Genomic DNA, 18,392 nt, shown 5'->3' with positions numbered 1-18,392 from the left:
CCAGAGATGACAGACAAGTAGGATAATTAAAGACCTTATCACACTATCTCATGTTCCCAGTAACCTTCCAACAAAACAATTCTGAAAGCAATGTAAGAGTGCAGCATGCAATTCTTATTTTGTCTCCCCATCAAACTACTAGATTTGCATCTAACATTCCTTCTTTCACAACTAACTACTACTTCCCATGGACTCATTTTTCTGTTTCAAGCTGTCAGAAATAAAAATTCCAGGTTCAGAGTTAAACCACCTATTTCTTCTCATTAGGTGAAATATCTACTCAATGCCATGTAATTAGCAGTTTTATAAAACTGACACTTAAGTACCAATCTTCTGCTTTTCCCATTTGGATAATTTATAAGTAAAAATACATGGCAATGTTGCAAGACTCAGAGATATTCTGTTCAGAAGCTGCACCTGGAGGAAATTCTCCTGCATCTGCCTTTCCTAAGGGAGCAGAGATGGCCGAAAAGTACAAGAAAGGCAACTGAACAGCTGGAATCTCTTTCTGGTTCTTCCACTACACTCTTGTATGACTGTGGAAAACTCAGTTAATAAACTGTTTCCTTTCATTTGTCTTAGTTTCCTTGAAGGAGGGAAAAATACACTTGTCTGGTTTTACTCTCCAATATTTTAGTTTAAAATTTTTCAAACCTCCAGTAAAGTTGGAAGAATAAACATGCTTATACCCAGAATCAGCAAATGTGAACATTCCTCTATAATTGCGATACATATTTTGTGAAAATGCATCCCAAACACAATTTTTTCAATTTAATAGAAAAGTCTTGAGATGAAAAGCTCCCCACAAAGTGATAAAAAGTTAATAACTATATATTGAGCAAGATTTCCTAAGAATATTTTTTGTCAGGAATTAGATTTCCTCAAAGCTCTTGGAATGCAACAGCATTCTCATTAACACTTTCCAGGAAATGCTTCCATAAGAATGGTCAGTCTTAGCTGAATCCTAGAAACATTCCACTTCGGAGCTGGAAACCATGTGTTTCAAATGCTCCATTTTAATGATGCGCAAACTGAGCCCCAGTGATGCTGCTTCTTATCAGCACTAACTTTTTATTTCCCATAAATAATACACTTCTAAACTGCAAGAGAGGTGGTGACTTCAGAAGGAAAAGGAGAGAATAGGGAAGATGTGAACGGAAGGGAGCAGGAGCAGGTAACAACACATTGTCAAGAGCACCAGCTCCCAAAACCCACTGACAGCGCCCCGCAGCACACAGCATTACTACGTACCAAGGGCAATGCAGAAGAGCTGTCCATCTAAGCAAACCACAGCCTTTTACTACCAAATGTGCAAAATCCACACATTCACCCTCAGCCCTACAACTCCCTAATTCAACCGTCTGACCCACTTCACACGATGCAAGCATTTCTATTTTTCCGCTTTGTAGATTACGCTATTAATGTTTCTTCTGATTATTTCCTCAACACAGGTTCTATCGGAGCCAAGATTTGACCATGGCAATGAAGCTGTACCCGTGTGGCTCTGCAAGATAACCCACCTCTCTAAGTGAACATAGGCAGGGGCTCTCCTGAGGACAGACGATAAGTGTTCTGTTTCCTGGGCCATGTTTCAAGGTTTTGTGTTAGCGATGGGATTTCCTCTGTTATTTTGGTCTTCTACTCAAGAAATACAAAGGCTTTTTGTTCATAAAACTATCTAAGGCCATTTTCACAATCCCTAAATCGATAAAAATAATTCAGCAGCAGAATATTAATTTTCAGTAATATATCTTCTATTGATTGTTTCCTTGGCATACTTCCTGGTCTGGTGTGGCTCAGCGGTCAGCTCTGTACCCAATGGCTGTGTGGTAATGAGACTTATCGATAGCCTTCTAATGCATAAGATTTCACCATTATCCAACTAGCCCGCGCCAGCCTTGCATCATGTTGTTTGCGGTTCTCTCCCTCCCGACCCAAACACAGCCCTAGACCATGGCTAAGAAGCAGTTTACAGCCATCAACTGCTTCATTTGTAAAATTAGGGCACTCACGTACTCCCCTGTAAAATACTTGGAGATGTTTTGATAAATTACAGCCTAGGTACACAATTCCAGTATTGATTCCTAAAGTCACCAGGTTCTCTACCCACCCCTACTGCATTTGCAACTATCTTTTAAATATCTTTTCTCTTTTCTGAGGAAAGCATCCAAAAACCTGACAGGTACCATTATTTAGAGTGTGCAATGCCTTCATCGTTTGAGAGTAACAGGTCAAACTCATTTTCATTGCCCATTTGCTCCCTTTACATGTGAGTGCACTAGGACCCAACAGATGGCTAAATCAAGATGTTCACCAGATTAGACTTTCTTGACATGACTGACTACTAAAAAGCTTAAGATAACAGATGTTAACCTACCCAGAATGTATTATATGTTCTATCAAGACATCAGAAATACTCCGAGGCTTTCCCCAGCTCGGAAATGCATCCAATTTATTTGAATAAAAACAAAGAAAAGTGGCAAAGAAGGGGGCTGGGTAGAGAGACCAAGAACCTATTTCCCAACCTTTCCTGGATCATTTTCTCAGTTAAAGTTCTAACGTGTTTAGATGAGTCTGTCCTTTAGGTATTTTTTTCATGAATATAGGCTGCTTTTTATTTTTCCCTCCTACCCAAAAATGGTGTCATTAAAAACAAAAAGCAGAGTGCTGTTGCAGAGTAATATATTACCTTCACTAATTTGCAAACAATCAAGCTACATGTGGCCATAAGCCGTTTATTCCTGGCCACAGCCAGCCTAGGATTCCTCAGCAGCAGAGCTGAGAGGCAGCAGAGCGTTACTGACATCTCTCTCTGCAGTGCTCAGAGGCCAACTGTGAGGGAGCCCAGGTGGCCGCACAGGAGAGGCCAACATGAGCCACTTCTGCCTGGCAGATCCTCCAAGTCTCTGCCCGGTTCCTGTGCGTGCCTGGCCCTGCTCTATTCCCGAAAGCCATTGCCTGAAAAGCCCCTAGTGATGTTTTTCCTGCAAACAGTCCCCACTTAGAAGAATAGAGGGAAAGGATGTGGTCATTCTGCAAAGTGATAGCAGCATTATCATAACTTCTGCTTTCACAGGGAAGTCCTCTGGAGACTCAGCAGACACTTTCCCATCTCACTTTGCTACCTCCCCTCTCTGCTCAAGTTCAGCCACAAGTATGGATCAAAATCTCTACATATGGCCAATACCCTATGACAGTCAGTAAAGCCTATGATGGTGCAGGGAAGGCAGAAAGAATTGCAGAGAGGAGTGGGTAGCAGCCCTTCCAGAACTGTTGTCAGTAGGCCCAATGCTGGCTACACTGGAGAAGAAGGCAGGCAGCCCAGACACACCACTTCTCAGGGCAACAGATGCTTTGGTGGCACTCCTATTCATGCTTTTGGCCATATTAACTGGCTACTTACTTGTTCATCTGAGGACACAGCTAGAATAAATTTCCCAGCCTTCCTTGCAGTAGGTGTGGTCACCAGACTGAGTTCCAGACAATGGAATATGGGTAGATGTGTGCCACTCTTCAAGATCTGGCCCATGAACACTTCCCATGCACTCCTTCTCCCATATCCCAATCAGGGTGTCAACACCCAGGGGGACCTTGGAAGTGACATAAAGATAGCAGAACGTCTATCAGCCTGAGTGACCGCGTGGGACGGAGCATGGGCCTGCAAAAATGGCCCGTAGGTAAGGAAGAAACTAACTCTTTATGTTAAGCCAGTGAGAACTTCAAGGGTATTTGTTACACCATCCATCATTTAATACAACACAACACACTCTAAGGCATCCTGACTAAACACCAGGAGAAGACTTACCTCACCAACTACGAATCCCCTTACACCTAAAAGTAATGGTGTGCCAAGCATTCTCACACCGGACGTCACAGAACTCACAGGCTTTAAAACTGTTGAGAGTCCACCCCCCAGGGACTGGTCAGACAATTTATACAATGGTGTATCTGTGCAATGACATACTCTGCCACTATTAAAAAGGACACAGGAAAGTTGTAAGTACTACCATAAGAGATCTTCAGAATAAGTTCAAAAGCAAGTCTCAAACTGTGTATACCCCATCTCTACTAAAAATACAAAAATTACCTGGGTGTGGTGGTGCGTGCCTGTAATCCCAGCTACTCGGGAAGCTGAGGCAGGACAATCACTTGAACCAGGGAGTTGGAGGTTGCAGTGAGTCGATATTGCACCACTGCACTCCAGCCTGGCGACAGAGCAAGACTCTGTCTCAGAAAACAAACAAAAAGTCATATATTTTAATTGTACGTAGTTTTTTTCTGGAACAAGAAACAAATAGCAATAATTATTCACAGGGAGAAGAGAGAGATAAAGGAATCATTTTTTTATTTTATACCTTTCTGTATTCTTGGGATTTTCTAATATTGTATACATATCACTTCTTATAAAAATGTCAATGGAATAACAACCCTGTGGGCTACCTTTTCCTTTCTCATATATCCCTGTATTTAAAAAGCTACTGTGAAAATGCAAATCAGCAGCGATGAAGGAAGGAACACGACAACAGGATGACTGAACCTCTTCCTCCCAGGAAGATTATCCCCCAAATGAGGACACTACAAGTTGTTGTTGATCAACTGCCAATCACAACTATACAGTTCTGAATTTGTAATGGTGACATGGGTGACCATTAAGGCTCCTCTAGTTGATTAGAAAAGTGACATGTGGCAAGAACATTTCTAATTAGTGATCACTGTAGAAATGCCTTAAGGAACAGCTCCACTTAAGTTTTCTCCCAGATGAATTCATACGCCTTTCCCTCTGAGTCCAAAGCCAACTGTCTGAACACCACATTTTGGTGGCTGAGGGGAAGTTCTGTTTCAAACTATGTAGAGAAAGGCATCAAGAAAGAAAAATGTAGAATGCAGGAGATGTATACCTGCTGACAGGCAGCCACAGTGTAATCAACAGTTAGGAATGATCCCTCTGATCCAAGGAGAAATTCTAGGTCTCATTTTTTAAGTACCCTCAGAAAAGAAATACCTCTTCAGCTCCCAGTGAAGTGCTATACAAAAATGCTTCTTACAATTCAGAGTCTGGCTCATCTCTATTGCGTGGGTTTAATTTCCACGAAGGCAGGGAAAAGGCTGGTCTGGGACACATGCACCGCCTCCAGTAGAACACAGGTGCCTCCTGAGCTGCTCCAGATTTTGTTTAAATCACCTGAACACGATTCCACCAGAACACAGAAGGTAAGGCAGAGAAAATGTGTGTTTAAATATTCTGAGATAAATGTCTGGGCTACGGGATCAGGCACTACCAAATGCAGGGCAAAAGGATGCTGTGAACGCAAGTGATGTTTCTGAAGCACTCTCTTGTGCCCTGGCCCTGATCTGGCAATGGGAGAGGACACAGAGACACGACACTGGCTGGGCTTCAAGGAGTCCAAAGTTTCATGGGAGAACAGGTAGGTTAACAAAAAGTATAATTAGCCTAAAATTCGCACACAATACTACTTTTAAAAACAGAACATTCTTCTTGCTTGATTTGACCTCTGCATTATCTTTAAATATAAAGTATTCTGAACCAAAAAAAAACCTAATTTAGTTAATAGGGGCTATTTGACATGAATGTTAAACTGAGTTGTTTAGAAAACCAGAACAGAGCTTCGCAAGCCAGAGGGGCTGCCCAGCCTGCACAGGGCATGCCTACAAGAATGGGACCTGCCATTTAACACTTCACCTCCTTCATGAGACAGCAGCACTATCCACGAGTCCCCCTGAGCAGTCCTGTAAAAAACTACCTAACAACCTCAGGCTGCGGTGTAAAGCAATGCTCTTCCCACAAAATTCCGCTGGACTGAACACGACAGAATGATTAGATTCATGTCTCCCACTTGGCGAGCTGAAGACTGTGACACGGAAGCTGGGAAAAGAGTGCATTGGACATTCCACCTCAAGACTGTCTGCAGAGTTTCAAACACATGTAGTAATAGAAGAAAGGGCAAGGAAAAACATGTGCAGTGAAGACCAGGGTGGCACAGTAAACATTATCCTTGGAGTGAGTCAACTGTTCTTTTCCATCATAGCCTCAAGGCAGAGGGAGGTGGATGCTGCCATCTAGAGATATCCAGGAATATCGGCTTTGATATCAATGCAGCCAACACAAAAGCACTGATGGGAGTGGAAGTGGAAGACGGCACAGTCTTAGGGAAGCAGCTGCCTGAGGGACCCATTCTTTCTGGAACCAGGTCCTCATCCAGTTTAGGGAGAGGGCGAGGAGGAAATGCCCAACAGACAGGATGCCTTTAGCCCTACGGTTCCCATGAGTATGAGAATGCAAATTCCTCTATGCAGGGAAAGTGGGGCACAGAGAATTAGAGGAATGAGTGGGAAGAGATCAAATGTGGGAACAGTTAATGGATACACATAAAAATAGAAAGAATGAATAAGACCTACTATATGAAAGCACAACAGGGTGACTACAGTCCGTAATAATTTAATTGTACATTTTTTTTTTTTTTTGAGACGGAGTCTCGCTCTGTCGCCCAGGCCGGACTGCGGACTGCAGTGGCGCAATCTCAGCTCACTGCAAGCTCCGCTTCCCGGGTTCACGCCATTCTCCTGCCTCAGCCTCCCGAGTAGCTGGGACTAAAGGCGCCCGCCACCGCGCCCGGCTAATTTTTTGTATTTTTAGTAGAGACGGGGTTTCACCTTGTTAGCCAGGATGGTCTCGATCTCCTGACCTCATGATCCACCCGCCTCGGCCTCCCAAAGTGCTGGGATTACAGGCGTGAGCCACCGCACCCGGCCAATTGTACATTTTTAAGTAACTAAAAGAGTGTAATTGGATTTTTAACATGAAGGATAAATGCTTGAGGGGATGGATACTCTTTCTCCATGATGTGATTATTACACATTGCATGTCTGTATCAAAACATCTCATGTACCCATGACTATATGCACCTATTATGTACCCACAAAAATTAAAAGCTTTTTAAAAATTTAATGTAGATAAGAGTGATGTGAGACATGGTACCCAGGACAAAGGGTTAGTACCTGCTACCACATTGAAGCCCTCAGAGTTCCACTGCCAGATTATGAACCACAGGAAAGGAAAATGGGGTTAGAGAGAAAGCCAAAGGAAGAAATTAGAATCACACAGGCAAGAAAACCAAGGAGATATGAAATTGAGCCCAAGACTGGCATCTTGGGGAAAACAGGAGATGTAATAAAAAAGTACACATTTTCTATCACATGTTACTAGGATGCACAAAAAGAAAATGTATGCTTAAAGATGTTAAGAATGGTTGTATATTATGCATGATTTTTCTCCAGTTTAAGAACATTTTTAAAAATTGTCTAGGAATTTTTCAACTTATGATAGAAAATATTCAATAAAGAATGCAGAAGTTATCTAATCCTACATTTCCCAACTGATCAAGTGGGTCTATGATCCTGAGAGAGGAAGCTAAATTAAGTTCTACCTGATCAACAACATGATTTTATTTGCCCTGGTGTAGGATTCCCAGTCTTTCCCTCTTAATGAAGAGCTTTCAGCACAGACGGGGCACAGATGATGCCCATAATTTAGATGCAAGTGTGTGACATTCCACAGCCTGTGGGACAGGTTAGAAGCTTCCGACTTTAGTGAAAACTGTTGCCATCAGCAACTTCAGCTGCATCTAGTTAACTTCATATCAGATGCAGATTTGTTTAAAATGCCAGACAAGTGAGGACCATTCAATCCTGCCCAAGCCTCTCCCTGCTCTGACAGGGTAAGGAATCCAAGGGTTGTCAGGCTTGATGGATGAGGGGAATTATTCCTGATGTGCTGTCAGCACCCATCTCCCTTTGAGCACATCCTTCTCATCAGCACAAGAGGCAGAGGATGTTCTGAATAACTCAGGGTAGAGATAGTTCAGGGAAAAAGCTCATGCCCAGCAAAGTGGTGCAGTCATTAATGTTTCGCTTCTCCTTTAGTTGGCTCCTGTGACACTGCCAGCAAGAAAAAGTTTCCATAGCAGAGAACACCTCTACCGCTAGCATGGCAGTTGGAGGCATTTATAATTTCACAACTGCAAATTAAAAGGAAGCTTGGTCTCTCCCTTCATAAAATCAAAGCAGTAGCCCCTGAGATTGGCAATGGAAGCAAACTTCCACGTCGAAAGAAGATCTGGACCTCACAATCTCAACGCCTGTCTCTGAAAACATCCCCAGCCTTTGGAGACCTGCCACCACCCAGGTCCAGCTTCGCAGGCTGATGGCTTCAGTCATCATTGAGTTCTGCTCCAGGAAACAACAAGGTCCAGGGTTATGTGTCATAAAACTCCAAGAGAACTAGTCACATCAGCCTCGGGGATGGCCTTTCAACACTGCAGTGCCCAGGCTAGGAGCTGAACAAGGAAAACTGACAAAACTACAGATTCCCCAATGACAACCCAAAAGGACTATGACTATATAAAAGTAGCTGCAGTTCAATATTTTCACAAGGGATGATTTTTTTCTCACTGGTTTTCAAAGAAAATGATAAAGATACTGCCAGAGATATAAAAATGCTAAAATGGGGAGAAGTCTTTTAAATGTAAGTGAAAATAAATTTAACTGCAAGCATGATAAGGCTCCTCTACCAGTCCTACTTAGATGTTAAACATACCATGAAATGAGAAGAATTTTATGATGTGACACAAATACAGGAAGACAAATCAAAGGACTAGAACAGAGTCAAGAAACAGATCTGTAATGTACTTAGGAATGTAGTATATGCGAAAAGTAGTATTAAAGATTAGTAAAGTTGCCCAGTAATACTGCTGGAATAACTGGCTATCTCTGGAAAAAGAGGAAGAAGATGAACCGCTCCTTTACTCCTTTGAAAAATGAGTTCCAAACAGGTTAAACACTAAATATTAACCCCTAAAGATATGAGAAGAAAATATGAGACAGTATTGGTAGAATTGAAGATGGCAAAATACCTTTCTAAGCATGACATGAAATTCAGAAGCCACTTCAAATTAATGAAGTAGACAAACCTCTGGAAAAACTAACAAAGTGAGAGAGAGAAGACAAAACTAAACAATATTAAGAACGAAGAAAGACTTAAAACTGAAGATGCCACATAGAATGCAAAAACAGATAATTTTCAAACTTAAATAATCAAATTTCCATGAAGTCATAAAATACCAAATTGATTAAGAAAAAATTTAAAAATCAGAATAGTCCTATAACCATTAAAAATTTGGATCAATTAAAAGTCCCCCAACAAAGGAAATATCAAGTCCAGATGCCTTTATAGGCAACATACAGAAGAGTCCACTCTTAAACCCTTCCAGAGATGAGAAAAAAAATGGTAGATCAAATTATTGTTTAGCAAATACACCCTTCCCACTCTCTACTTTCATTGGAAGGATAGGCTTCCCCATTCCACTGATGCCAGACTTAATCATGTGGCTTACTTTGGCCAGTGGGCAGAAGTGACACTGTGGCAGTTCCAAGTCTAGTCCTTGTTTCTGCTCACCACTCTAGGAGGTTCCAACCTTCAGCATGTGAAGAACTTACCACAGATAAGTGCTGCCCTTCCACCTGGGTCCCACGGGAAGACATGTAGACCAGACAGACATCGGACCTGCAGTCTGGATGGAAGCCACGCCAACCACAGATCCATGGCCAAAGCAGGACTGACCCAACCAACACACAGACCCACAGCAAGAAATCCTTATTAATGCATGCCACTGGGGAATTGTGATTTATTATGCAGCCCTATTATACTAATAGTTGCTGATATACATTCCTACTTCGTTCAGCTACCATAACCTTGATATTAAAACTAGACAAAGATAATCCAAAAAATGAAAACTACAGGTTAATGCCACTTGTAAACACAGAAAAATCCTAAGCAAATTATTAATAAACCAAATGCATGAAAATATTATATAAACATATTTGTCACGATAATGTTGTATTTTTTTCTGAAAATGTAAGATTAATGGCCATCAATAAATGTAGAAAAAGCACTTAATAGCAAAAGAAAAATTTAAGAAACAAGAAAAGGGGTATTCTTCACCTGATACAGAGCTTTTTAAAAAAAAAAAGCCCATAGCATTTATCATACTCAGTAGGCAATGTGGAAAGCATTCTCTTTATGATTAAGACAAGGATGTGTAGTATCACCACGTCTATTCAACTTAATCCTGGAAGTCCTAATTAGTGAAAATAAGAAAAAAGAAAGAATAGCTACAAAGATTGGAAAAGGAAAAAGCAAAGCTGTTATTACTTGCAAATTATTATTTGCAAAATTACCCCCTCCTCCAAATCTACAGATAAGAATCATTATAAATTAGTAATCTTAATTTAATAAAGCCAACTGAATTCCCATACATTAGCAAGCAGCTAGAAATGTTTATTTTTAAAGGATATTAAGGTTATTAAAAATAATCTAACAAAGGATGTACAAATTCTTTCTGTAAAAAATAAAACCTTATTGAAAAACATTAAAGTCCTAAATAAACAGAGCAATATACCATGGTCTAGAATAGCAAAACTCAGCATAATAAAAATGTCAATTTCCCCCAATTGATCTACACATTTAATGTAATTTTAATCAAAATCTCAATCAGCTTACAGGATTTCATGAGCAAATTTAAACAGAAGATAAACCTGCCAAAAACAGCCAATGCTCTTGAAGAACAACCATGGCATGAGGGAACTTTCTTGACTAGTTATTTAGGCTTGTTAAAAGTTACAGTAATTAATGAAGTGTGACATTGGCACAGGGACAGATGGATTGACCGACTACAAAATGGAGCCCAGAAACAGACTCATGTATATAGAGAAATACACCCAATACTTAGAAATCTGCTCTGATATGAATTATGTCCTTCAATTATTACAACAATGTTGCCAGGATTAACCATTCCTATTTTACTAATGGACACCCCCAGGCCTCACGAGGTTAAGGGACAGATGTCCAAAATTACAGAGCCAAGAAACGTCAGTACTAGAATTCAGTCCTAAGTTTCTCACCCTCAAACATACCAGTCTTTTTCATCATCTGCTGAGTTTTGAAGAACAGTTAATAAAGCAAAGCAAAGAGCCTATATGCTAAGGATGATAGCAGCCTCCAAACCACTGAATAAAAATCTTAGCAGAAAAGTAGGCAAGCAGAATTACACAGTGGTCATTCTAAGAGGGGTCAGGAAGAAGTGCTCTTCCATTCTGAGAATATCACTCTTGAGCCAGACCATGAGTCCACTTAATTGGGAAAGGTATATTGCATGTCCTAGAGAATTAAGGTCATGACGCTGAAAGTGTTGGGGTGATTTATGAGGATCACAACTGGAAAAATAAAACAATCCTCCACACTCCCAAATTAGAAGAGAGACACTCACACTAAGACTCTCAATAGAAAAAAATAGACTCTAAACTCTAAAGACCTACAGAGACCAAAACTCAGTCTTCAAACAGATATGGCCCCCAAGTCATTAAGCAGAGACACATTTAACCCTTTACATATGCAAGAAGTGACAAAGATTTAAAGTCAACGATAGAAATGCTATAGTTTTTTTAAGAACTGTAATAGAGGGTAGACTAAGAACACTAAGTCCCATAAAGTTTGTTTTCAAAGAGCCATAATTCTCTGGTTGGGCTCTCAAATACTTAGTTTAGTTATATGAAATTCCTATTAAAATGTTTTATGTTCTCAGCTCACTTAATAGCTTGATTTTTCTAGCAGTTTGTTTATGCCCAGCTTCCATGAATACAGAGAGAATCATGCTTTAAATAAAAATGAAATACAAGAAAAATGATATTTGAAAGAATAGAAATCAAATTAAAATCTAAATTGCAAATCATCTAACATGTATAAGAAAGCTAAATTAGAACCCCAAGAAATGCTGAAAGGGAATATATTTTTAAGGATCATAAACCAAACAATAATATTAATTGCGATAAGAGGGCTTATTTAAATGAAAAGCCCAAAACTAAGGATTTCATAAGCAATGTTCTTAATTTATATTCTTAACATGCTAACATTTGTTTCTGTCTTTTACATAGCTAACCAATTACAGTATATTTCTAAGGAACCAATTTTATTTGCTGACAATTATTTGTTATCTTAGTTATAAATTCTGCAGCTTTTCAAGCAACAAATGAATGTCTTACATCTGGAAAAGAAAACACAAAAAGTGATGGTATGATGTTTGAATACATGCAATTACTGGTATGTTACATTCTAATTAACATAATTAGCTTTGAAATAGTTCTCACAATAGCTGTCAACACTTGTGTCAATTTAGTGGCAGTTAATGACATGTGTAACAAAGATCTGCTATTTTTTCCACTTAAAAATAAAATAAACCTTTCCAAAAAGAAAAGACAGGCAGCCTCACTGAATATTTAAAACTCTTTTTAACCAGTAAAGCTCTATTCCAGATGATTTAAAAAGCAGATCTTGTAGTTTATTCCACGGGTCTAAAAATCGGGGTATGAGCACCCCAGTGGTGCACAATATAATCAACTGGGGTTTAGAAAACAAATGTTAGAACATCAGTTTTCATTTTTTAACATCTCTTCTTACTGGTTTTAGAACATTTCATATGTTGATATTGAAGCTGATAGCTGGTATGTACCAGTACTGATGGCTAACACACTTCCTTACAGGTTGGCTGATAGTCACAGCCGCAAACACTCCAAGTACACCCTAACCTCCCTATCACCTACCCCAGGATTCTCCAATCCTCTCGGTGATGGTGGCAACCGAATTTGCCTCCAGGTCCCTTCTGAAATTCTACAGTAAATGTCCTCTCTAACGGTTTCCTAGTGGAGATACACAGGCCTGTTAAAATTCTTTCAGAACCTCCTCTAAGCACATAACAATCACTTTAAAATACATTTACATATTAGGGATGCTTACTAAAAAATGTTTTTACTGATGGGCTGAGCCAGGAAAAATGTTAGAGGCCCAAAAGGCATCTTCTAACTTTGTTACACCTGGGCAAATGATAGCCAAATTTGACAAAGGCAAAAAAAGATGGGAATATTAATAATACTTTCAGTAAAAACCTGTTAATCTTCTAAAGATCCAAATATACAGGTAGTGTGGTAGTAGTATACAAAATGTTAATTCAAAAGAAAGCAAGACATCTGTTCAAGTCACATTTTTGTTGTATATGGTGACACCTACAACTCATATTTTTTATACAAAAAGAAGATTCATGAAGAGCAGGATCCTTATCTTTTGTGTAATCTTCTGTGTAATCCAATGAGAAGAATGAAAAGAAATGAGTTGGGTTTCTTTTTTCTAGTGGTCTTTTTATTTATTTATGTAGTGTTTTTTAACTTTTAAGTTCAGGGGTACAAATGCAGGTTTGTTACATAGGTAAACCTGTGTCATGGGGGTTTGTTGTACAGATTATTTCATCACCCAGGTATTAATCCCAGTACCCATTAGTTATTTTTCCTGATCCTCTCCCTCCTCCCACCCTCCACCCTCAAGCAGGCCCCAGTGTCTGGTGTTCCCAACTTTGTGCCCACGTGTTCTCATCATTTAGCTCCCACTTATAAGTTAGAACATACAGTATTTGGTTTTCTGTTCCTGTGATAATTTGCTGAGGATAATGGCCTCCAGCTCCATCCATGTTTCTGCAAAGGACATGATCTTGTTCATTGCTATGGCTGCATAATATTCCATGATGTATCTGCACCCACATTTTCTTTATCCCATCTACCAAAATGTAACTAAAAGAATGCCTTTTTATTTTTTAAAGGCATCATCTCTTAAACTCTACTCATGTCAAAGATGTTATATTATCCTTCCCCCATAACTTCTAATTTCAAACAAGCCTTATGTCTGACAAGTTATCCTGCAGAAAACATGGCAAATCTGCAGTTATCTGAAAAGAATCATAGAAAAGCTTATCGTCACAAGGCCAGCTTAATCAGTTCTATAAATCATAAACTTGGGATGTACATTTAATGAAACTTAAATTCCATAATCTAATAATACATCAGCTCCTCTTGTCCAAGATGACAATAATAGTTAATATTTATTGTGTTCTTATGTGTTCCAAGTGGATATCCTCAGTTGTATGACCTCACTTGACTCCAGCAACAATGACATGAGATAGGTACTATTAATATTCCCATTTTCCAGATGCACAGGAAGGTTATGTTCCTTGGTCAAGGTCACATATCTAGTAAGTGGTAAGGTCAAGACTCCAACCCAGGCAGCCAGGCACTGGAGCCCATGCTCTTAAACATTACTCTAAACTGCCTATAACAATTAAATTCTAAATCAAGTACTTACACAACTGATCACAATTCAGGTTAGGGCCACAGCAGAGCATGATCCCTCTGGACAATGGGAAAGGGGTGAGCCAAGGTCTATCTGTTCCATCCAAGAAATTCTCCAATAACAGGGTTCATATTCAAAAGCAGAGCTCTCAAAGTTCAGTTAAAATGTAGAGGTGCTATAGGCACAACCAAATATAAGTCCATGATATTTCATCTGGTGTCATTTAAAAGAACCCACCCAAGGAAATATCCTAGGTTCACATCTTCAACAGCTACAGCTCATTTTCCTGAGCTCTTTAGGCATTCAGGCCATTTTGGGGATGAGGAGAGAAGGGGGAGAAGGCAGGAAGAGATGCTTCCAGTCCTACTTAATTATATAATAAATGCTTTGGTTCCGATATGCACTATTCCAAGGAGGGTCATGTAACCTGGATTGGGGTGAGGGTGGGTAAAGAGGGCAAGGAAGAGGCAGTGTGTACACTAAAGTACAGACAGGTATTGTCCAGGCAGAGAAGAGAGTTACATAGAGAAGAGTTTTCTTTCCAGAATAAGGAAGAGCCTGGGAAGAGGAGTCCGAGGTCGGAGGAACGAATGGCAGGTGGTTTACTACCACCCATTATTCTGACAAACTCCAGAAGCACATAAAGATGAGAAACCTCAACCCTCCATCATGTGAATCTGTCAAGGAGATGAATGTGTCCAGAAAACAGGAACAAAACTCGGAGGTTTTTAAAAGTTTAACTGATGACTTTAAAATCAGAGCTTTATAAAAAGGGGGTACAAAGTATCACTTGTTCAACATTATTTATAAAGCTAAACTTCATCACTGTATTTAGGAACCAAAGGGGGAAAAATGTCAACTTACACTTATACAAACAAGGAAAGAAATACCCGTACAAACCTAACTAAGCACCCATATAAACAAGGCAGGATGCATCTCTAATCAAAGGAAAACAAGTTGGTTACAGGCAATGAAGAGATATTTCATACTTAAGAGTACTAGAACAGGCATTAATTCTTATGAAAAGAATGATAAATGTATACGCCTGTTTTCTTAGGGTTACAGATTCATCCGTGACATACTAGAACCCAATTATTACTCACTAAATACAGAATTCTACTGTGAAAACAGTAATGTACCTTCAATTCTTAGACTGTCTAGAACATACGCCATCCAGAGAAGAATTCAAGTTTTGTTGGTGAATCATCTTGGAAACAAAGATTCAGAGACAAATAAGTAAATGACAGACAGGAGGAACAGAAGTCTGGGATCTGAGGAAACAAACCTGTAGAAGCACTAGGGCTTGGAATGACAGCCAGTCCTAGTATGGGATCAGAATTATCAAAACTTGAGCAAGGGCTTTATGCCTCTACATATTATTTGTAAAAATGCCTGCCACTACTTAGCACTCATTATTGAAGACTTTTTTTAATGGAAGCTGATGTACCCTGAACAATAAAAGATTTAGTAGATCCCAAGTAACTAAATTGGACATTACCACACTACTCCACATTTCACTTAAAAACAAATTACCAGTGTCAGATCACAAAGATCTCACAGTCCAGTAGGTCATGATGAATATGTAGCCACTGAATCTAACAAATGCACAGACTTACTTCCTTTTGGCTAAAGTACCGGAAAATACCATGCTTTCCACCTTGGAGATTTCCTAAATTAAAAAGACTAGCTTAACTTAGGAAAATGAAGTGAAGGCTCACCATCCACCTTATATGGCATCACCATGAGTGGTGGTGGTGGTATTCTAGGGTGCAGATTAAGTCAGAACTCATTTCATCATCACTGATACACATGAGCCTCTGAGTTTTCAGGTGGTTCCTCTGCCTTCTCAACTATCCTAGAAATATCACATTAAGAAGAAACATTATTGTCCACTGCACTGTCCACCTTTATCTACCACTCCCCACCCATCACACTGTATGCAATTTCCACTTGGCCTTGAAGCTTGCCTAACCAAAACCTACTCAACGTTTAACATTCAGTTCAAGTTGCAAAGTTTTCCCAGACACCTGCAGGTCAAGTCTTTCTTCTGCTTCTATGAATTCTCATGGCTGCAAACTCTCCAGCATGTTGTTAGCTTCCACCTTGATCTTGGATTTCCCAAAAGTCTTCTTGCAACTAGTTTATAGGCTCCTTAAAAGCAAGACCACGTTTCGCACAGATTTTCATACTAGTCAAATAAGAGGGAATCCATTAATAGCCAATTAACTGATCAATAAGCATCCTGGGGAACACACTGATTCAGAATCCCAGAGTAGACTGAAGCTTCAGGTGCCAATGAACCCGGAATAAGTATAATTACCACTACTACTCATTATACTAACCACAAAACTATATCTAGAAAAAGCAAGATAGGAAACATAATGAGGCATGTTTTCCCAGAGCCACAATAACCAGGGATTTCCTAAGAAGTCTCTGAAGTAAAAGGATAATTTTTCATTTTTCCCAAGACAGGAAATGCTACATCCCAAAATCTTTCCCCCAACAAACCGCTATCTAATTATTATGGGTTTCTTGGTTTCTTTTGAGAATAAGATAGCAAACACGTCAATGCTGGTATTTTAACAAAGGAGGAAATAGGATGCCAGAAGGACAAGCTGTGCCACCCCAGCAGTCCACCAGAGGGGAACCTGTCCACACCAGTGGGCATTTCCATAACAGTGGCCGTCACTACTTTGCCACATTATTTTAATCATTTCCTCAGACACGGAAACCAGTAAAATCCTGAACAGCCTAACCATTTAGCTAGTCTGGGCACCAGGAGCCTCTGAAAATGACAGAAACAGAATTAAGATCTCCTCAGTGTTCCTTTCATAAACAACTATTTTCTAAGTACTAACCACAGACCAGGCACTGTCCTTGGTGCTACAGATACAGTAAGGAATAGGACAGCTAGGTGCAGGCATTTACCACCCTATGGATCATCTCTTCATACTTGGTGGACAAGCTGTCGACCTCCTAAATGGTTGGCACACCAGTTGGGTAAACAGGTAATAAATAAGCTCTAACATGCAGAGATCTACGTACATATATGTGTAGTATTGCTGTTCCAAATTTGTTTTGCTCCCCTCTGTGATGGTAAACAATTAAAAGAGGGCATGTGTTTCTATTATTTAAATCCCACATAATGTATATGGACACCATTCGCCTCACTGTCAAATGGACCTTTGATAACAGGAAGTCACACTTGACTGGTCTTTCCAGGCACACCCACGCAGAGACCCATGCAGAGAGCTGCTCCAGCTGGTGCCCAATCCTTTCCAGGAAGGACAACACCTAAAGAAGGTAATGAACATTTTTTAACCTCTGCAAAATGAAAAGAAGAAAAAAACTAAGACATGGGGACATTTTAAGTGACTGCGCTGAGTGGAATTTCATTTTAGGAAAAATAAACTTCTCCCTCAAATATGTAGTTCTTCACTCGTTCTTAGACCGAATCGCAATACCCTTCACATGCCTACTAATTACCCATTGGGCAGCCAGCCATGTTTACAATCAGAATACACATTTAGAATATCTTTTCACAGAGATAGCAGTTGGATTACAGAGAGGATTTTACACTTCATTTTAAGCTGATCTTTGATTTACAGACTCATGTTAAACCAGCTACTCTGTGGATGGGCTCAGGTGAGCCTATAATGAGATTTATCTTCATGGATTAGGCCTGACCTATAATAATCTGCTCAGGGCTCCCTACTGCTATTTCAGCACTGAGTTATGAAAATTCATCCCTTCACTATAAACAGAACCTAGCTCAGAGGGTAATAACTATGAGATGTATTACTCCTCGAATACAAGCACTCCAGAGACTCTGATTATAATGTCCACAGCTGAAGGCACTATTTCACAATTGAGATTACTACTTTCCAGATGAAAAAAAATTCTGAGCTGTGGAATAATGCCTTCAGCTACACACACTGTAATCACACTCAGCAGTTCCTGTATCCCAAGAGCAATACAGGTTACCAACAGTTGGTTTGGTAAGCTGATTTAGGGAATAAAGGAAAGATGTTATAGGAGGCAGCACAGATAATCCTAATTTCACATTCGCTTTATCTACTGACTTTAGCATGAGAGTTCAACAGGTCCAATAACCATATTGATTTCACTAAAGCATAAATTTAAAAGA

General features: G+C 39.7%; 1 protein-coding gene across 10 annotated transcripts in view; it reads right to left on the bottom strand.

The window, feature by feature from the left end:
• MAST4 (microtubule associated serine/threonine kinase family member 4) overlaps positions 1 to 18,392 on the bottom strand; it is a 573,201-nt gene that overhangs the window by 355,608 nt on the left and 199,201 nt on the right. The window lies entirely within an intron of this gene.

The sequence above is a fragment of the Homo sapiens genome, chromosome 5 (assembly GCF_000001405.40).
Source record: "Homo sapiens chromosome 5, GRCh38.p14 Primary Assembly".
Taxonomy (NCBI): domain Eukaryota; kingdom Metazoa; phylum Chordata; class Mammalia; order Primates; family Hominidae; genus Homo; species Homo sapiens.
The sequence above is the reverse complement of the archived record's forward strand: the minus strand, read 5'-3'. Positions and strand labels throughout refer to the sequence as shown.